Raw genomic sequence first — 22,569 nt, forward strand, 5'->3', positions numbered from 1 at the left:
TTATTTTTATTAGAGACAGTGTTTCTCCATGTTGGTCAGCCTGGTCTCGAACTCCTGACCTCAAATGATCCACCCGCCTCAGCCTACCAAAGTGCTGGGATTACAGGCGTGAGCCACCGCACCCAGGCTTGAATTCTTAAATTCTATTTCCTTCATACTATTTCATCTAATTCCTTTCCTCACTTGTATTTATCTTATGATTAAGTTATCCTATCTGGTCCTAGGGAACCTTAACATTCTTTAGGGCGGCCGCGGGGGACAAAGGGCGGGCGGATCCGCGGGGAGGGGGCGGGGCGCGGCCAGGCCAGGCCCGGGGTCTCCGCATGCTGCAGCTGCTCCCGGGTGCCCCCGCCGCCGCCCTCGCCGCGGAGCCGCGCGGAGCGGAGCCGGCGAGCTAACCCGAGCCAGCCGGCGGGCGTCCCGGAGGCGGCGGCGCAGGGAGGAGCCCGACGCGCTCACGTGGCCCCGACGGCCGCCATGGCGGACAGCTGCACCGCGAGGGGCGTGGCGTTGGCTGCCCCGGACCCCGGGCAGGGCAGTGGCGGCCCAGGACAACGCGTCTACTTTCAGAGCCCCCCTGGGCCGCAGGAGAGGGCCCGGGCGGCGCGGACGATGAGGGCCCAGTGAGGCGCCAAGTGAAGGTCACCGTCAAGTATGACCGCAAGGAGCTACGGAAGCGCCTTAACCTAGAGGAGTGGATCCTGGAGCAGCTCACGCGCCTCTACGACTGCCAGGAAGAGGAGATCCCAGAACTGGAAATTGACGTGGATGAGCTCCTGGACATGGAGAGTGACGATGCCCGTACTGCCAGGGTCAAGGAGCTGCTGGTTGACTTGTTACAAACCCACAGAGACCTTCATCTCTGGCCTGCTGGACAAGATCCGGGGCATGCAGAAGCTGAGCACACCCCAGAAGAAGTGAGGGTCCCCGACCCAGGCGAACGGTGGCTCCCACAGGACAATTGCTGCCCCTCGACCTCGTAGCAACAGCAATACCGGGGGGCCCTGCGGCCAGGCCTGGTGCCATGAGCCGGTCTCCTCTTGCCCCTGGCCCAGGGGTCTCTTCCCCTGCCCCCTCAGTCTTCCACTTTTGGGGTTTTTTATTGTGATTAAACTGATGGGACTTTAAAAAAAAATTCTTTCTATATATAATACATTCTCCTGAAAAAACATAGTCTTCCCCAAGTAGATACAATTTTTATATTTTTATATTTTTAAATCTTTTTTTCTTTATTTTAAAACACAGTTGAGATATTCTGTACATACAATGTAACAGTATCTTGCTTTTTAGGGTTTTTTTGTTAAGGTTTATTATACGTTCTTAAACACCGTATCTTTCATCAAGTGAAGATATTTAGCCATACGAATGGTTACGTATTTTTAGTGTTTTTAGTTTTCTGATATTATAAATAATGTTGCAATGGACATATATGAACATAAATCTTAGTCCTTTGACTGTACTTTTCCGTATTTTAAAATATGTATTTATTTATTTATTTATTTTGAGATAGGATCTCATTCTGTCGCTCCAGCTGGAGTACAATGGTGCAACTCACTGCAGCCTTAACATCCCTGGGCTAAAGCAATTCTCCCATCTCAGCCTCCCAAAGTCTCAAAGTGCTGGGACTACAGCTGTGAGCCACATGCCAGCCTGACTGTACTTTCGGTTTTTTTTTGGTTTTTTTTTTTTTGAGACCGAGTTTCACTCTTACCGTCCAGGCTGGAGTGCAGTGGCCTGATCTTGGCTCACCGCAACCTCTGCCTTCCGGGTTCAAGCAATTCTCCTGTCTCAGCCTCCCAAGTAGCTGGGATTACAGGCGGCCGCCACCAAGCCCAGCTAATTTTTGTCTTTTTTGTAGAGACGGGGTTTCACCATGTTGGCCAGGCATGTCTCGAACTCCTCACCTCAGGTGATCTGCCCGCCTCAGCCTCCGAAAGTGCTGGGATTACAGGCGTAAACCACCCCGCCCAGCCAATCTACTCAGGATTTTTTATGGGATTCTTAAATAAGAACCTATAAGTGCCAAACCTCAAAATTTTCCCCTTTTCTCACAACAGCAGTTGTCCTGGCCTCACCCAATCCTTTTGATTTCTTTTTTTAAAAAGCCAAAAATCAAACAAGAGTGTTGGGATTTAAAATCAGTTTTAATATATCTGCTAAGTATTAAAGGTGCTACTAGTAGGTACAGTACTACTAGGTACTAAGTCAATAATTCCACTCATAGTTTTTTTTTTGTTTTTTTTTTTTGCCAAGTTCTGTTGCTCTCCTCTTTAATGTATCCCAGACCATTCCTACCAACATTATATGCCAATCTTTCTTGATGCAAGTTTCCTTTTACAGTCATGATCTTTCTTTTTAGAGATGGGGTCTTTCTATGTTGCCCTGGTCTCAAACTCTTGGCTTCAAAATAGGAAGATCTGTTTCTCTCGTGTTCGCTTTGAATGGCTGCTGGACCACTGTTTCCGTGCACAGGCAAAGGGGCAGAGCTGAGGAACAGTCATCCCTCCTCGCTGTCCATTATCTGTTGCCAACATGGTTATTCTCATCTTTGTGCCAAAGTCTCACTGCTCACAGCATTTTCCCTCTCGTGTACCTGCTGCCTCCTGATTCTCACACATATGAGTGTGACCCTGGGCAGGTCCTTCTGTTAAGAGCTGAAGCAATATGAAGAGAGTTTGTGGCCTTTTAACTACTTATTTAGATCTTTTGACTTATCTGCATAACTTTTGTAAAGTTGCAAAACTTAAGTAGAGTTTTGGCCCACATTAAATAACCACCTTAGAAACTCTAATCAAGGTAAGTAGACCAATTTCCTAAGTGCTCTCTAATTATGTTTTTAAATTTATTGTCAAACCAACTATGACCATAAGTTGAAGTGCTGTGGTTAGAGGGCACATTTCTGGTCAAATGAATCACAAACTCATGTCAGCTGGTCAAGGAATAATATGCTATTTTCAGTTTTTATAGTACTAGGAAGCAATAAATGACAAGGACTCACATGCAATAAAGCTGTTATCAGTCTGTGAGAAAAATCTCATATATTAGTAGTTATGTTATAGCTATACCAACCTAATAAATTCAGATGTCTTTTGCATATTAGATTACTTTCCCACCACAAGTGAGCTACAAATAATGTTTGTCTTTCTGAAGACAAACATTTGTCACAGTCATTCCTACCATTCTTGCATGAATCACACTGGTTCATCTGCTGTGACTTAGAAGGTTACGGCCAATGTTCAACACAAGCCAAAGTGATAAATGTGCACTTAGCTCATGTGAAAGCCCATGTAGACCCATTTCTGGAACAACGGGAGGAAGATTTATGGCAGTAAGGCAGTGGCATGTGTGAGAATTTCCTCAGTGGTGGAGCAGAGACATGGATGGAATTGGGGTGAGAGGTTAGACCCATCAAGTTTAGAGAGAACTGCTGAGTCAAACTCATGGCAGCAAGCCAGGTGCAGTAGCTCGCACCTGTAATCCCAGCTTCTTGGGAAGCTGAGGCAGGAGGATTTCTTGAAGCCAGGAGTTTGTGATCAGCCTGGGTAACACAGCAAAACCCCATCTCTAAAAAAAAGTTAAGAAAAAAAAGAGGCCAGGCGCGGTGGTTCACGCTTGTAATCCCAGCACTTTGGGAGGACGAGGCGGGCGGACTACCTGAGGTCAGGAGATCGAGACCATTCTGGCTAACACAGTGAAGCCCCATCTCTACTAAAAATACAAAAAAAAAAAAAAAATTAGCTGGGCCTGATGGCATGCGCCTGCAGTCCCAGCTACTTGGGAGGCTGAGGCAGGAGAATCACTTGAACCCAGGAGGTGGAGGTTGCAGTGAGCCGAGATTGCGCCATTGCACTCCAGCCTGGGCAACAAGAGCGAAACTCCCATCTCAGATAAAAAGAAAGAGACAGAGTCAAAGAAGGTTTCAGATCGATGCTAACCTAGATCCCCAGATTCACCCAGTGGACATACTGTAGGTTCTATGGCACATGAGGGCCCCAGGCCCTGGTTTCGGCACTGGGCAGCTCTGCTGTTAAATGAGTGGAGTCATAATTTTATCTCCTTTCCTCAGAGGACTCTCGAAGTCAGTGAGGTGACAGGTGACAACAAGAGTTTATAAAAATCTTGATGTCCTATACAGCAAGGAACACATTTTATGTTTTTTTCAAAAAGATAGTTATCGTTAGTAAGAATGGTAAAGACTTCTTACCGTTACTCTCTTTTTTTTTTTTTTTTTGAGACAGAATCTCGCTCTGTCACCCAGGCTGGAGTGCAGTGGCGAGATCTCAGCTCACTGCAATCTCTGCCTCCTGGGTTCAAGCAATTCTCCTGCCTCAGCCTCCTGAGTAGCTGGGATTATAGGCATGTGCCACCACACCCAGCTAATTTTTGTATTTTTAGTAGAGATGGGTATCATCATGATGGCCAGGCTGGTCTCGAACTCCTGACCTCAGGTGATCCGCCATCCTTGGCCTCCCAAAGTGCTAAGATTACAGGCGTGAGCCACCGCACCTGGCCCATTACTCTCTTTGAGTTGTCATGTAATTGAAGAAAATGCATTTTCGTGAAGTAGATAAAAATCAGACCCTACCAAACAATTGCCCGAGTTATTCTTATTTGTATCCAGCCCCCTCTTAAATTTTTTCACCACCAGTAAGGACAAAGCGGCTACAAATACCAGAGATCTCAGTAGCAAGAGTGGCCCCTGGCATGGAGTAGAGGCACAAGGTTAGGGATGTCCCATTGAGGTAGGTTTGATTTTTTTATAGGCTTGGGACAGGACTTGTGGTGAGGGAAGAAGTTCAGTTCAGGCCGGGCGCGGTGGCTCACGCCTGTAATCCCAGCACTTTGGGAGGCCGAGGCGGGCAAATCACGAGGTCAGGAGATCAAGACCATCCTGGCTAATGCGGTGAAACCCCATCTCTACTAAAAATATAAAAAATTAGCCGGGCGTGGTGGCGGGCGCCTGTAGTCCCAGCTACTCGGGAGGCTGCCACTGCGCCACTGCACTCCAGCCTGGGTGACAGAGCGAGACTCCATCTCAAAAAAAAAGTTCAGTTCAGTTTCCTATTATGGTAACTGGCCAATTATAGCACACACTTTACAAATTATATTTCATTTTGGTGAAAATGCACTTTGGAATTAATCATAAGAAGAATCTTGAGAAAGATGCAGAAGTAAATCTACTTTTCTGCTTATGATTATGAAGCATAATATTTACTTTTTTTTTTTTTTTTTTTGAGACAGAGTCTCTCTCTGTTGGCTAGGCTGGAGTGCAGTGGCACGATCTTGGCTCACTGCAACCTCTGCCCCCGGGCTCAAGCAATTTTCCTGCCTCAGCCTCCCGAGTAGCTGGGATTACAGGCGTGTGCCACCACGCCCAGCTAATTTTTATATTTTTAGTAGAGACGGCGTTTCACCATGTTGACCAGGCTGGTCTCGAACTCCTGACCTCAGGTAATTCGCCCGCCTTGGCCTCCCAAAGTGCTGGGATTACAGGTGTGAGCCACCGTGCCGGGCCCAATGTTTACTTTTTAAGAATTAATTTGATAGAGGTTTGAGGTTGATAGTGTCTTCAGATGGCACTAACAGAGTCATGAATACAGTCTAGAGTAACCTCTTAGCTTTCTTGTCTGCCTCAACATGAAAGATAACATTTGGCTGGGCACGGTGCAGCCTCGGTGACAGAGTGAGACCTTGTCTGAAGTAAAGAGAAAAAGAAAGGGAAGGGGAGGGGAGGGGAGGGGAGGGAAGGGGAAGGGTGGGAAGGGGAAGGAAAAGAAAGAGAAAGAAGGGAGGGAAGGAGGGAGAGAGGGAGGGAGGGAGGTTGGAAGGGAGAAAGGAAGGAAGGAAGGGAAAGAAGGAAGGAAGGAAAGAAAGGAAGGAAGGAAGGAAGGAAGAAAAAGGAAGAAAGGAAGAAAGAAAGACAAAGAAAGAAAGAAAAAGAAAGACGGAAGGAAAGAAAGAGAGAAGGAAAGAGAAAGGGCTGGGCGTGGTGGCTCACATCTGTAACCCCAGCACTTTGGGAGGCAGAGGTGGGAGGATTGCTTGAGTTTAGGAGTTTGAGATCAGCCTGGGCAACACACAAGACTCTGTCTCTATAAAAACTTTTAAAAACAAGCTGGGTGTGGTGGTGTGGGCCTATAGTCACAGCTACTCAGAAAGGCTGAGGCAGGAGAATCCCTTGAGCTCAGGAATTCAAGGCAGCAGTGAGCTATGATCAGGCCATTGCATCCCAGCCTGAGCGACAGAGTGACACCCTATCTCAAAAAAAAAAGAAAGAAAGAAAGAAAATAATTCAAGGAAACAAGGATCACATTATCATACAGGAAGAGCCTTAAATTTATTTGAAAAGGTGAAAAATTGGAGAATTTAGATGTTCTAACTATTGTTAATCTCTTGTGGCTCTTCAGATGGATAGCAAGACGCAGGTTGCTATCACACACAGGTGTGTTGCCATAGCCTGAGATGCTCTGATCTAGAAAACTTCTAGAGGACTTGAAATACAGCTGAATTAACTCTTTCCTCTCCAAAGTTACAAGAGTTCCACAGAACTCCTCCTACCCCAAACAATAAGATTCCTGTATCAAATGCAATAACAGTTTAAAATATAGGCTGGTCGGGCTGGTTGCGGTGGCTCATGCCTGTAATCCCAGCCCTTTGGGAGGCTGAGGTGGGCAGACCACCTGAGGTCAGGAGTTCGAGACCAGCCTGGTCAACATGGTGAAACCTCAGTTTCTACTAAAATTACGGCGGTGGGCACCTGTAATCCCAGCTACTCGGGAGGCTGAGGCAGGAGAATCTCGCCATAGAGCGACACTCTATCTCAAAATAAATAAATAAATAAAATATAGGCTAGTCTGTGTGCAGTTGTGTTTACAACTATGATCACCACGAGTTACAGATTTCTTTGTTCCCTCTCCATTCCCACTGCTTCACTTGACTAGCCTAATCCTTCCAAAGGAAATATCTAGGCACCAGAACAAAAGATAGAACTCAAAACTAGAGTGTGACATGATGTCAAAGAAGCCTATGGGGGCATTGTGCCCAGATACAAGTTCTAATGGCCATGGACTGGCATTTTATTTTTTTTGAGACAGAGTCTTGCTCTGTCGCCCAGGCTGGAGTGCAGTGGCCCGATCTCGGCTCACTGCAACCTCCGCCTCCCGGGCTCAAGCGATTCTCGTGCCTCAGCAACCCAAGTAGCTGGGATCACCTCAAGTGATCCGCCCATCTCAGCCTCCCAAAGTGCTAGGATTATAGGTGTGAGCCACCGTGCCCGGTCCAAGCCCAGAAATTTGTATAAAAGTGGGCCCTGAATAGGATGATATCAGCGAAAGCCCTGACAGAAGTTAACACAAAATCTCTTTTTGGAGACACTTTTATAATTCAAGGCACATGGAATGTCTAACGAGCAGTTGCACTTTGCTAAAAATGTGCTCACAATGAAAAATTACAGAGCATGTTGAGGAAGCGATCTACAGGGGAGTCAGGAAGCAAAATGGGAGAATTAGCACCCCAAGAAACTGAGACAGTAAATGATAAAATAAGAAACAGCAAAAGAAAACAAAGAGGCAATCAATCAAACAACACAAAAAGGAAAAGATGAAAAGTAACATGCTATTTAGTAAAAGAGATGTTAGAATATGACCTAAGTGTACATACTCCTACAAACTCACTGATTCACAATGGATTCAAATTGAAACTAGAGAATTGAAAGTAAGCTTGAAAATGTTTGGTTATACTTTAGAATAAATTACCTGCAAGAATTATGAATTATGTGACTCTCATTGGATTTTATTACCTCATTGGATTTTATTATCTCATTGGATTATGTGACTCTGGTTGGATTATATCAAAAGCCATGTGACAGGTTTAGCTTAGATGATAAATGCATACATTTTTCATTGATTTTGAGTTGCTATACCAGTAAATTTTTTTCATAGAAATGTTTTCTGGGCTGGGCGTGGTGGCTCACGCCTGTAATCCCAGCACTTTGGGAGGCCGAGGCGGGTGGATCACCTGAGGTCAGGAGTTCAAGACCAGCCTGGCCAACATGGTGAAACCCCGTCTCTACTAAAAATACAAAAAAAAATTAGCCCGACTTGATGACAGGCGCCTGTACTCCCAGCTACTTGAGAGGCTGAGGCAGGAGAATCGCTTGAACCCAGGAGGTGGAGGTTGTGGTGAGCCAAGACCATGCCATTTTACTCCAGCCTGGGGACAAGAGCAAGACTTCGTCTCAAAAAAAAAAAGTGTTTTTAATTTTTAACGTCTTTAAATTACCAAAATAACACAATTTTTTTATTTCAGATAAATTCTGAAATATAGAAGAGACCAAAAGAAACCCCCCCAAAAAACAAAAACAAAAAAACCCAATAGTCTCACTACCCAGAAACACTACTGATATTCTTTTTTTTTTTTTTGAGACAGAGTCTTGCTCTGTCACCCAGGCTGGAGTGCAGTGGTGAGATCTCAGCTCACTGCAAGCTCCACCTCCCAGGTTCACACCATTCTCCTGCCTCAGCCTCCCGAGTAGCTGGGACTACAGGCACCTGCCACCGTGCCTGGCTAATTTTTTACATTTTTAGTAGAGACAGGGTTTCACCATGTTAGCCAGGATGGTCTCAATCTCCTGACCTCATGATCCGCTCGCCTCGGCCTCCCAAAGTGCTGGATTACAGGCGTGAGGCACTGCGCCCGGCCACACTATTGATATTCTAGCAGTCTCTTCTGGGTTTTTTTCCTGAACAATGTTTTCTTTTTTTTTTTTTTCTTTTTTTGAGACAGAGTCTCGCTTTGTTGCCAGGCTGGAGTGCAGTGGCATGATCTTGGCTCATCGCAACCTCCGCCTCCTGGGTTCAAGCGATTCTCCTGCCTCAGCCTTCTGAGTAGCTGGGATTATAGGCATGTGCCACCACGCCTGGCTAATTTTGTATTTTTAGTAGAGACGGGGTTTCTCCATGTTGGTAAGGCTGGTCTCGAACTCCTGACCTTCGGTAATCCGCCCGCCTTGGCCTCCCAAAGTGCTGGGATTATAGGCGTGAGCCACCGCGCCCAGCCCTGAACAATGTTTTCTAACAAAGCTGAACTTACACTGAAATATTGTTTAGTATACCCTTTGTTTTATAAATTTAACCTACATCATACACATTTTCCCACGTCCTTAGAACTTGCTATAAGTATAGTTTAAATGGACGTATAGTATTTCTTCATGGATACACCATTTATTTAATAATTCTCATTATTGCATATTTAAATTGCTTCCTTTCTTTCATTGTTATAACTCTTCAATAAATATTTGTGCATTAGTCTTTGTTTACGGGTTTAACTATGTCCTTAGGCTACATCTATAATTTTTAAAATCAAGGGACAAGTCTTGATCTTTACAATTCATGTATTCAAATGTATTTTATTTCAATTCAACAAAATTCACTGAGCATTCACTAATTGCCACATAACTTTTCCCTAGACACTTATTGTCTTTGTTTTGTTTTTCTGATTGTCAAGGTCATCACATACATAATTTGGAATTTATATGTGTGTTTTTCGAAAATGAAAAGCCAGGAAAGGGGAAGCATCAGTGAATTCACCTCTTTTCTGTGTTCAGTTTGTAGGATCTAAGCCAGCAAAAAGAAAACTCCAAATTGAAGAATTTCTGCTGGGCATTTTAAAATCTGCAAAGTGCCGGGCATGGTGGCTCACACATATAATCCCAGCATGTTGAGAGGCCAAGGCAGGTGTATCACTTGAGGTCAGGAGTTCGAGACCAGCCTGGCCAACGTGGTGAAACCCCGTCTGTACTAAAAATACAAAAATTAGCTGAATGTGGTGACGCGTGCCTGTAATCCCAGCTACTCTGGAAGCTGAGGCATGAGAATCGCTTGAATTTAGGAGGCAGAGGTTGCAGTGAGCTGAGATTGCGCCACTGCACTACAGCCTCCGTGACAGAGTGGGACTCTGTCTCAGCAAAACAAATAAAAAATTTTAAAAAGCAGACAAGGCATGGAGGCTCATGCCTGTAATCCCAGCACTTTGGGAGGCTTAGGCTGGTGGATCGCCTGAGGTCAGGATTTCGAGACCAGCCTGGCCAACATAGTGAAACCCCGTCTCTACTAAAAGTACAAAAAATTAGTTGGACATGATGGCGGGCGCCCTTAATCCCAGCTACTCTGGAGGCTGAGGCAGGAGAATTGTTTGAGCCTGCAAGGCAGAGGTTGCAGTGAGCCAAGATTGCGCCATTGCACTCCAGCCTGGGCAACAAAAGCGAAACTTCGTCTCAAAAAAAAAAAAAAAAAAAGAAGAAGAAGAAGAAGAAGTAAAAATCTGCAAAGCAAGTTTGCTGGATTGGTACAAAGGTGATGGAGTGTTGGTTTATTTCACTTGATCTTTAGAATATGTCTGCACCAAATCAGTAAGGTGAGTCAAATTACCCCTTCCTAGACTTTCTTCCTGTTATAATTCTGTATTTGGTGGCTATTTTTGTAATGACATTAAAAAACTATATTGGTTTACCAAAATGTCTAATCAACCACAGCATACACGTTTCAGAGCTATGTTTACAAACTCCAGCTCTTCATTACTTACTTCAACTAAAAGAAACACTAACCCTCTGATCAACTAAACCAAATTTACTCACAGCAACAATTTCCTGGAGAACTTATATTTAAAAAACAATTAAGTTGAACTTATTTCAAACAGGCCAGTTGATTTCCATTCTGTCTTAGACACAGAGGTAGATAGACTATTTTACGTCTGTTTAGATTCTGCCATAGCAGAGAAAATTATTTAAAAGTCATAGTGCTGGCTGGGCGTGGTGGCTCATGCTTGTAATCCCAGCACTTTGGGAGGCCAAGGCTGAGGCGGGCGGATCACGAGGTCAGGAGTTCGAGACCAGCCCAGCCAACATGGTGAAACCCCATCTCTACTAAAAATACAAAATTAGCCATGCGTAGTGGCATGCTCCTGTAATCCCAGCTACTTGGGAGACTGAGGCAGGAGAATCACTTGAACCCGGGAGGCGAAGGTTGCAGTGAGCCAAGATCACGCCATTGCACTCCAGCCTGGGCAACAAGAGCGAAACTCCATCTCAAAACCAAAAATAATAAGTAAATAAATACATGTCGTAGTGCTAAAACTAGAAATAAGGCAAAAGGTTACAGATAGAGCAGGAGTGATAAATCAAAGGACAATAGTTCCTGTTATTAAGTTCTCTGCTCCAGTGCTCAGTTCTCCTAGCATACAGCTCTGACCTCAGGGCCACTGCTTATCGTTGTTTGTGCCCTGAATAATCCCAGGGGGCGCCATTCACAGCAAGCCCTGGCAGAGGACTCAAGCATCGCAATTGAATAATGCAACAGACTAAGATGACTTCAGAAAGAAGAAATGACAATAGTTTATTGTATGGAGGGATATATTTCTGAAGAAACAAAGAAAAGTGACAATTGTGTATACAGTTCAGAAAAATGAAACACCTTTTTTGCAGGGGAAATGTCTTTTGCCTTGTGCACCAGGCTAGGCTGGAACCATCTCCAGATTTTTGAAAGTACACTGCAAAAAGCTGAGGCTGTGTCCTTCAAAAAGTAATGTGGGGAAATAGAAATCTAAGAAATTTAAGAAAATAGAAATTACTTCAACTTAGTGCCTAAATAATGCCTTAAACAATGTTCAATGGTGAGGAAGAGGAAACGCAAAATGAATAACAGGAAAAACTACAAGCTGGTCTTCACTTTGCAAGAATAGTTTCTCTTGTGCTTCCACTGCTCGCCTGCCACTTGAGCCTTTTCACACCACTGGCCTAAATAAATAACTAAAACGATGTTTTTACATTTTTTTTAGAGACAAGGTCTTGTTATGTTGCCTAGGCTGGATTCTAACTCCTGGGCTCAAGGGATCCTTCTGCCTCAGCCTCCTAAGTAGCTGGCCCTGTAAGTATGGCCCACTACTCCCAGGTAATAATTTTAAAATATGAGAAACCATGAGGATAGATTCTGACCCTGTGTCTTCCAGCCTGGGCAAGCCCAATAAAGAGTCGGGTTGGATGCAACCAGGACTCATGGATGTCTTCCAAGTCTGGTTTGCTGAAGATGGCAGCTTCCCCCGTCCTTTTTTGAGATGGAGTCTCGCTCTGTGGCCCAGGCTGGAGTGCAGTGGCGCGATCTCGGCTCACTGCAAGCCCTGCCTCCCAGGTTCACGCCATTCTCCTGCCTCAGCCTCCCCAGTAGCTGCGACTACAGGCTTCTGCCACCTCGCCCCGCTAATTTTTTGTATTTTTAGTAGAGATGGAGTTTCACCGTGTTAGCCAGGATTGTCTCCATCTCCTGACCTTGTGATCCGCCCGCCTCGGCCTCCCAAAGTGCTGAGATTACAGGCATGAGCCACTGCGCCCAGCCTCCCCTGCCCATTTTTAATCTTTTTCTAGGGCCAGAACCCTGGAAGATGCAAGGAGACAAAGGAAGGGTGTCATCTAGCTCTGCACTCCCGTGTGTGTGTCTAACATGTGGCACACTGTGTTTGCGGGGCATTTCTTCTATTTCATGACCTGATTAATCAAATTTTCACTATGCATATACTTTTCCTTTGGAGTCACGATGCATCTTTAGAAGCCATACCAACTTTTCCTGTGCAGTAAGGTGGAAACAGTAAGAGCCTGGGAATCAGGCAAAACCAGATTTTGAATCCTAGCTCTAAACTCTGAGCAAGTGACCTGTACCTTACTTTCTTCATCTGAGTAATGGGAAAAACAATGAGCTCCTCATGGAGAAATAATTTAATAGCTGAAGATCGTTTGAGACAGTTCCTGGCATGCAAAAGTCTTAAAGATAATGTAACTAGTGTTGACTAGCCATTTAGAGAGGAAAAGATTGGGCTTAGAGCCAGATTGCTAGAGCCTGAGCATGTTGGCTTGTCACTTACAGCTATGAGACCTTGGGCGGGTCACTTCAGCTCTGTTTCCTTATTCCCTAAGATGGGAATAATGAGAGTGCTGCTTTGTGGGTAGTCGTGAGGAATGAATGAGTTAATCCACATACAGGACCTAGAACAGCACCTGTCACATAGTAAATTCTCAATAAAAATCTTAGCCATTATGATCCCTAGGCTCTGAAGTAAAAAATTATTTCCCCTATCTCATAAGGTTGTTGGGAGGTTTATATGAGACAACCTATAAAAGTACTTACGGCCAGGTGGGGTGGCTCATGCCTGTAATTCCAACACCCTGGGAGACAGAGGTGGGCAGATTGCTTGAACCCAGGAGTTTGAGACCAGCCTGGCCAACAAAGTGAGACCCTATCTCCACAAAAAAAAAAAAAAAAAAAAAATTAAAAATTAAAAAAGTGCTTAGCAGAGCTCTCAGCTCATCTTAAGTCCTCAAAATTAGGTATTAACTTGATGATTATTATTACTATGATTATTAGTTCACTATATTGAAAAGTTCTGTAGTAAAAGACAGCTTTCTATGTTTCTAACAATAATTATTTAGTATTAGTAATTAATTAAATACTATCACTAGTTAGCAAAATCAGCATTTTCACATATGGCTGCTAAAAAAGTGAATTGAAAAGGGCTACACTAATATAATTAAAGCATAAAACTTATTAGCCTTTTTGGAAATTTCCTACTTTACTACTTTCTAACTCTTTATAATACAAATTTTCTGAGTTTTCTACAGTTTGTCATATGAGTTCGGTAAAGATATATTTATTTCCTTCAAAGTAATTTGAGTCAGTCCCTTGGTATTCAGCTAAGTTGAACTCCGGTATTTTGGAACAGTATCTGTTGACACAAATATATTTGGCATCACTGGGGAATTTAAAACTACATACAGACAGTGTCATGATCCCTCAAACTCAAGGGGACAGTACTATTACAGAGGACAAGAGTTGTTAAAAAGCTTTATGTTGTCATTTCTATACTGAACATATGGCATTCTAGTTTCTGGTAGGAAGTGGCAGTTACAAAGACTAAACTATAGTTTTGCAAACATTCTAAACAAGGTATTTAGGATTGCTCAAGAAAATAAGCATGAGGATCTGGTAAGATACACATCGAGACACGTGCAACCTCTCATTCACCTTCTATCTGATCCTGAGGTGACTGCATGGGGTAAAAATCAGTTCCCTCGCTCACTTTAGCCCAGACACATATCTGATTCTCACCAACCTTGAAGATATGGGCTCGTGCTCGAGATTTTGTTTGGGTTCTGCCTAGGTATTTCTAGTCTCAGAAATTCCCTGATGGCTAAATTAAATGAAAAATCTAAGAATTCAGAAACTGACAGGCCCGGGAAGAATATTTGTGACTCTGAATCTTTTGCAACAACATTTTGTTTTTCTAAGTAAAGAAGTAATCTGAGGCGGCCCTTAGTGCTGAATGACCAGACTTTGTCACCTTGCCTCGGTTTCAGGTTTTCATAGGGCCTTCCAGAGGTCAAGAGAGGCACTGTCCACTTCCATATTAAACAAAAACCAAAAAGAAGAAGAAAAAGATATGCCAAAATAGGGTTACAAGATTTGTCGTGTATTTTAAACATCAGTATTTAACAAGTAAGCAATTCCAACATCCACATGCACACACACATTCAGTTCAGTGTAATTATTATATTCCCAAAGTGACTGGGGGGTTATTAGGGGGTTTATTTAAAATATTGGTTCATAGTTCATGAGAGGTGAGACAGTAATGAGACAGAGAGCTGAAGTTGGTCGATGCCATCTTCTTTCTTCAAACCTGCCAGTGCTTCTATTTAACTGTGGGTGTGACCTGGTGGCACTGAGGCCCTTGGTGATAGTGAGGCCCAGAGCTAGTGGCCTCCTGATGTCCCCTTTTCAGTCTCAAGATGTTTGCTCCTGGAAATGTCCAGCTTAATTAGATAGGCACCACTGCCTATCATTTCTTTTTTTAGATAGAGTCTTGCTCTATCGCCCAGGCTGGAGTGCAGTGGCACGATAATTGCTTACTGCAGCCTTGACCTCCAGGGCTCAAGCTATCCTCCACCTCAGCCTCTCCAAGTGCTGGCATTACAGGTGTGGGCCACCGTGCCCAGCCCTACCTATCTTTTTTTTTTGAGACAGAGTCTTGTTCTGTCGCCAGGCTGGAGTGCAGTGGTGCAATCTCGGCTCACTGCAACCTCTGCCTCCCAGGTTCGAGCAATTCCCCTGCCTCAGCCTCCCGAGTAGCTGGGACTACAGGCACGCACCACCATGCCTGGCTTAATTTTTTATATTTTAGTGGAGACAGGGTTTCACCATGTTGGCCAGGATGGTCTCGATCTCCTGACCTCATGATTCGCCCACCTCGGCCTCCCGAAGTGCTGGGATTACGGGCATGAGTGCTAGGATTACAGGTGTGAGTCACCGCATCCAGCCCCTACCTGTCTTTTTAGTGTCACCTTTCTTCTGTGGTCAAGTGAGCAGATGGGCCCAAGAACCTGGGCTCTTACTAATGGCATTTTTTGTTTTTTATTGTTATTTTTTCCAATTCACGTGCCCTGAGTTTGATCCCTTGTTTTTGTTGAATAACTGTCAAAAGCAGCCTGGAGTGGAAGGACAAGTGTATGTAGATGGAGTTGATTGGCCTTGGGGTGGGCAGTTTGGGGGAGGATGTGGAGAGACTTTGAGCAGAAGGAAGCAAAAAAAGTACATACACCCTGTATTAGTCAGGGTTCTCTAAAGGGACACGACTAATAGGATAAATGAATATGTGAAGGGGAGTTTATTAGGAGAATTGACTCACATGATCACAAGGTGAAGTCCCATAATTGGCTGTCTGCAAGCTGAGGAGCCAGGAAGCCACTCCAAGTCCCAAAACCTCAAAAGTAGGGAAGCCAATAATGCAGCCTTCAGTCTGTAGCCGAAAGCCCGAGAGCCCCTGGCAAACCACTGGTGTAAGTCCAAGAGTCCAAAAGCTGAAGGACTCAGAGTCTGATATTCAAAGGCAAGAAGCATCCAGCACGGGAGAAAGATGGAAGCTAAAAGACTCAGCCAGTCTGCTCTTTCCGTGCCTGCTTTTATGCTGGCAGCTGATTAGATGGTGCCCACACAAATTGAGGGTTTGTCTGCCTCTCCCAGCCCACTGACTCAAACGTTAATCTCCTTTGGCAACACCCTCACAGACACACCCAGGAACAATACTTTGCATCCTCCAATCCAATCAAGTTGACACTCAATATTAACCATCACACATCCTTAAAGGAAGCTATTGATGCAGGCTCCTTCCGTAAGAGAAGACCCCTGAGTATCATAAAAGGGGTCTTGAGACTTATCTCAAAGTCTCCCAAGAGGAGCATGCTGGTCAAAGTTTGGTCCAACTCTGAGCTGTGTTATTTCCCACAAAGCCATTACCACTGAGTTGATGGACATTTCCAAACTGGGCAGAGCACTCATGACTTTTCTCCCAAACCTGACTGGCAAAAATTGTCCACTTCCCTGAAATTTTGTTTGCAGATATCAGAGGAGGGTTACATTTCTGCATTCCCTAAGGGGAAGCCAGGAATGTGGGAGTTGGGGTTGGGGAGGGGAGAGTGAATGAGCGCTGGAATCCTGGCAGATGGCAGTTGCTAACCAGGGAGCCAGAAAGGCTTGAGGATGAGGAGCCTGGTGTGCAACACAGGGACAGGGAACAGAAGTAGGAAGGGAAAGGAAGAGCAACCAGTTGACTTTAAAGAGGGGAAGAGAGGTCCCATTGAATCACCCTGCAGAGAGGACTCATGAAAAAATCAGGCTGGTTTCAAATGATGGCTTATCCAGTTTATCAGATTGGGAAGTAGGATGGCCAAGTGGGATAGCAGGGGTACAAAGAGGGATTTGGACTTGGGGTCAATGCCTTAGAAGCGCTTCTTTCTGTCTTGCCCCAAACCTTCAAACTGTGCTACTAAATAATTAATATGAAGGTTACAAACTTTTTGATATACGTAGTCTGGGCTTCATGCAGGAGCCAAGGAGCCCCTATAAAATACGTCAGGTTCAGTGGCTCTCCAGTGGCTTCCCATTTCCCCCAGAATACACTCTAAAGTCCTTTCTAAAGCCTGCAGGCACTTTAGGACCTAGTGGTACCTTGCTGCCTCTTCTAACCACATCTTCCATTCTCCTCCAACCCCTCTTCCAGGCACCTGGGCCCTTGGCTTTCCTCTAGGGCTCCACTTTTGGGCTGTTCCCCAGATACCCATAGAGCTTGTACCCTCTCACTTCATCCAGGCTGCTTTCTATGCCCCTTGTTAGTCTGCTTGGGCTGCCATAACAGAGTACCACAGATGGGTGACTTAAAAAACAAATTTATTTTCTCACAGTTCTGGAAGCTAGAAGTCTGCCATCAAGGTGCTGGCAGGATTGGGTTCTTCTGAGGGCCGTGAGGAAGGGATCTGTTCCGGGCCTCTCTCCTTGGCTTGTAGATGACCATTCCCTCCCTGTGTCTTCACACTGCCTTCCCTCCATATGACTATGTCCAAACTTCCTCTTCTTCTTCTTCTTTTTTTCTTTTTTTTTTTTTTTGAGAGAGAGTCTTGCACTGTCACCCAGGCTGGAGTGCAATGGTGCGATCTCGGCTCACTGCAACCTGTGCCTCCTGGGTTCAAGCGATTCTCCTCCCTCACCCTCCCAAGTAGCTGGGATTAGATGCACCTGCCACCACACCCAGCTAATTTTTTGTATTTTTAGCAGAGACAGGTTTTCACCATGTTGGCCAGGCTGGTCTCAAACTCCTGACCTTGTGATTCTCCCGCCTAGGCCTCCCAAAGTGCTGGGATTACAGGCATGAGCCACCAAGCCTGGCACAAACTTCCTCTTCTTTTTTTTTTTTTCTTTGAGACAGAGTTTCACTCTGTCACCCAGGCTACAGCGCAGTGGCACGATCTCGGCTCACTGCAAGCTCCACCTCCTGGGTTCATGCCATTCTCCTGCCTCAGCCTCCCGAGTAGCTGGGACTACAAGCGCCCGCCACTGCGCCCGGCTAATTTTTTGTGCTTTTAATAGAGACGAGGTTTCACCGTGTTAGCCAGGATGGTCTCGATCTCCTGACCTCGTGATTCACCCACCTCGGCCTCCCAAAGTGTTGGGATTACAGGCATGAGCCACCGCACCCAGCCACCTTCCTCTTCTTATAGGGACACCACACACCATTACTGAATTAGGAACTGCCCTAATGATACCATTTTAACTGTATTACCTCTGAAAAATCCTGTCTCCAAATATGGTCACGTTCTGAGGTACTGGGAGTTAGGACTTCAACATGTAAATTTTGGGGGGTAGAGGGGGAGGCAAAATTCAGATTATAACAGCCCCTTATTGATTGGAGAAGACTCCCCAACCATTCTTTATAAAATAGTGCCCTTATTAACCGAATATATTTATTCATTCAGTTTTTCTTTTCTTTTTTTTCTTTTTTTTTTTTTTTTTTGAGATAGAGTTGCACTCTTGTTGCCCAGGCTTGAGTGCAATGGGCAATGGTGCAATCTTGGCTCACTGAACCTCCGCCTCCCGGGTTCAAGGGATTCTCCTGCCTCAGCCTTCCAAGTAGCTGGGATTACAGGTATGCTCCACCATGCCCGGCTAATTTTGTTTTTGTTTTTGGGTTGTTTTTTTTTTTTTTTTGAGACAGAGTTTTGCTCTTGTTGCCCAGGCTGAAGTGCAATGGTGTGATCTCTGCTCACAGCAACCTTCGCCTCCCGGGTTCAAGCGATTCTCTTGCCTCAGCCTCCCGAGTAGCTGGGATTACAGGCATGTGCCACCACACCCAGCTAATTTTGTATTTTTAGTAGAAACGGGGTTTCTCCATGTTGGTCAGGCTGGTCTTGAACTCCCGACCTCAAGTGATCCACCCACCTCGGGCTCGCGAAGTGCTGGGATTACAGGCATGAGCCACCGCACCCGGCCTCATTTAGTTTTTTTGAAGGTCTCCTTCTACTTAAATGTCAACCCCAGAGTGCCAACTTCTTTATGAACTGATGTATCTCCAGTACCTAGCTCCCTGCCTGGACAGTAACAGGCCCTCGATAAATGTTCAGGAATGGATGAACACATAGGAAGCCATTACAAATCACTCCACAAAAAAGTAATGACAGAGAAAGATGTTCAAGGTATATTGTCAAGTGAAGAAAGCAAATTACAAAAGCCTCCTGGGTAGCGTTGTTTCACTTTAAAATCATGTACATATTATTTATTTGTATTCAAATAAAGCTTAGAGGCTGGGCACGGTGGCTCATGCCTGATATTCCAGCACTTTGGGATGCTGAGGTGGGCGGATCACCTGAGGTCAGGAGTTCAAGACCAGCATGACCAACATGGTGAAACCCCATCTCTACTAAAAATACAAAATTAGCTGGGTGTGGTGCTGCATGCCTGTAATCCCAGCCACTTGGGAGGCTGAGGCAGGAGAATCACTTGAACCTGGGAGGCGGAGGTTGTAGTGAGCCAAGATTGCGCCATGGCACTCCAGCCTGGGCAACAAGAGCGAAACTCCATCTCAACAACAAAAACAAAAAACTGGCTGGGTGCAGTGGCTCACACCTGTAATCCCAGTGCTTTGAGAGGCTGAGGCGGGCAGATCACAAGGTCAGGAGTTCGATCAAGATGAGCCTGGCCAACATGGTGAAACCCCATCTCTGCTAAAAATACAAAAAAATTAGCCAGATGTGGTGGCGGGCGCCTGTAATCCCAGCTACTCGGGAGGCTGAGGCAGGAGAATCGCTTGAACCCAGGAGGTGGAGGTTGCAGTGAGCCAAGATCGCGCCACTGCACTCCAGTCTGGGTGATAGAGGAAGACTATCTCAGAAAAAAAAGAAAAAACCAAATAAACAAATAAAGCTTAGTGAAATATGCCACAAATTAGTAATAGCAGGTGGCTCTTTTTTTTTTTTTTCTTTGAGACAGAGTCTCGCTCTGTCACACAGGCTGGAGTGCAGTGGCAAAATCTCAGCTCACTGCAACCTCTGCATCCTGGCTTCAAGCAATTCTCCTGCATCAGCTTCCCAAGTGGCTGGGATTACAGGCACTCGCTACCAGGTCCGGCTAATTTTTGTGTTTTTAGTACAGACAGAGTTTCATCGTGTTGGCGAGGCTGGTCTCGAACTCCTGACCTTAGGTGATCTGCCTGCCTTGGCCTCCCAAAGTGCTGGGATTACAGGTGTGAACCACTGCACCTGGCTGGCTCTTGAGATTTTGATTTATTTTTCTCTTATTGATGTGTATTTTCTAATTTCTCTGTAGCAAATATAAATTCTGTAAGAGAAAAAACAATAGAAGTTATGAACGGTTAATAGAAGATATGTTGTCATACTTTTAACTGGCTGTTAGGTTAAGAAAGAAAAAAGACGCTCATTTTCTTTTCAGTGGGAATGGTGGGAAGCACAGCGAGTGGATGTCACAGCTCGGATGTCTCCGAGCCCAGCAGCTGGGGACATAACCTGTGCAATCCATCCCATCTGGATTCATGCCCTCACTTGCCACTTTCTAGATCTGTCATCTCGGACATGTCTGTCATTCATATTGTCCTGGTTCTTCAACTGTAAAATGGGGTAATATTGTACTTACAGGACATATTGCCTCTAGTCTCTGGCCTAGGCTGGAATTTTATTCTTTTGATCTCAGCGATTTGGAAATATCAAGACACCAAGGGTCAGAGACTAGTCCAAGGGTTTGGTTCTCCTTTTATTCCCCTCCAAGGGCAAGCCAAGCATTATCCAGATACTGCTCACATTGCTTCTGAGTACAGGCCTGAACTAGGGTGAAGTAGTAAGGTGCTTGCCACAGGCACCAAACCTAAGGGGCACCAAAACCATAACCATTGGTACTCATCATAAATAATATGCTAATGCAATATTTTAAAACATAAAATTATATACAAATTTACAATGAACAAGATAGCAATAATTTTGATAAAGACACAGTAAGTATTTGTAATTTTTCCTTTGCCTCGGGCTCCATTATGGATGAGTTAAGCACTGCTTCCAGCCCACAGCCTGAAGGGAGCAGACCATCAATTATCCAAATCATTATTAACTATTTCTTAATTATAATTAATTATCCAAATTGTCTTGAGCCTCAGAAGCTGCATTGCTCATTCTGTGTTTGTTTTGCTTTCAGTCAAGGCCTTGTTAGGATATCAATAGGGAATATTTATTTTTCTGACCCTGTTTGTTCCTTTCCTCTATATAGATACCTAATCATAATTGCTACCTAATTGTGGCCCTTCTACCTCACTGAGAACTCTGAGGGGCAGGTTTCTCCCTATTCTTTTATAGAAACATAAAATGCCAGAAGAGTATGATTTCTACCCAAAAGAGGACTAAGCAGAGTTTACAGATGTTGCAGACTCCTCCCCTGATACTTCTGGGGAAGGGCACCCAGACCTGGGCATACCTTGCTTCAAAAACAGGCCATAGCACACAGTCTGCTCATTCCATCCATTTTTTTTTTTTTTTTTTTTTTTGAGACGGAGTCTCGCTCTGTCGCCCAGGCTGGAGTGCAGTGGCGGGATCTCGGCTCACTGCAAGCTCCGCCTCCCGGGTTCACGCCATTCTCCTGCCTCAGCCTCCCAAGTAGCTGGGACTACAGGCGCCCGCCACTACGCCCGGCTAATTTTTTTGTATTTTTAGTAGAGACGGGGTTTCACCGTTTTAGCCGGGATGGTCTCGATCTCCTGACCTCGTGATCCGCCCGCCTCGGCCTCCCAAAGTGCTGGGATTACAGGCGTGAGCCACCGCGCCCGGCCGAAGGGAAATTCTTATGTGATGGAGTTAGGCAGGTCTTTGGTCTTGGTGGAGGGTTTCCTGAGGGACTTTCATATTACATATCCTGGGATTTTTGTGGGTATTAGTTAATCATGTAAAGCAATACCCAGTACACATTCACATGGTAATTGCTAGTTAAATGTAGCAATGATAGGCCCGTGCCGTGGCTCATTCCTGTAATCCCAGCACTTTGGGAGGCCAAGGCGGGCAGATCACCTGAGGTCAGGAGTACAAGACCAGCCTGACCAATATGGTGAAACCCTGTCTCTACAAAAAAATACCAAAAAATTAGCCTGGCGTGGTGTCACATGCCTGTTGTCCCAGCTACTTGGGAAGCTGAGGCAGGAGAATCGCTTGAACCCAGGAGGTAGAGGTTGCAGTGAGCTGAGATTGTGCCACTGCACTCCAGCCTGGGTGACACAGCGAGACTCTTAAAAAAAAAAAAGTAGCAATAATAATCACATTTAAAATCTTGTTTTATGGCCGGGTGCAGTGACTCACACCTGTAATCCCAGCACTTTGGGAGGCCGAGGAGGGCAGATCACGAGGTCAGGAGATGCAGACCATCCTGGCTAACATGGTGAAACCCTGTCTCAAATACAAAAAATTAGCCAGACGTGGTGGCACGTGCCTGTAGTCCCAGCTACGTAGTCGGGAGGCTGAGGCAGGAGAATCGCTTGAACCTGGAAGGCAAAGGTTGCAGTGAGCCAGGATTGTGCCACTGCACTCCAGCCTGGGTGACAGAGCAAGACTCCATTTCAAAAAAAAAAAAAAAAGTAGCCAGGCATGGTTGCAGGTGCCTGTAATCCCTGCTACTTGAGAGGCTGAGATGGAAGAATCGCTTGAACCTGGGAGAT

The 22,569-nt window shown here is 45.1% G+C and overlaps 1 pseudogene; it reads left to right on the top strand.

Annotated features, from left to right (window-relative positions):
• The first annotated feature begins 277 nt into the window (after positions 1-277).
• PPP1R14BP2 (protein phosphatase 1 regulatory inhibitor subunit 14B pseudogene 2) lies at positions 278-1,118 on the top strand (annotated as a pseudogene).
• Positions 1,119-22,569: the final 21,451 nt, after the last annotated feature.

This window comes from Homo sapiens, chromosome 2 (genome assembly GCF_000001405.40).
Source record: "Homo sapiens chromosome 2, GRCh38.p14 Primary Assembly".
NCBI classification, from domain to species: domain Eukaryota; kingdom Metazoa; phylum Chordata; class Mammalia; order Primates; family Hominidae; genus Homo; species Homo sapiens.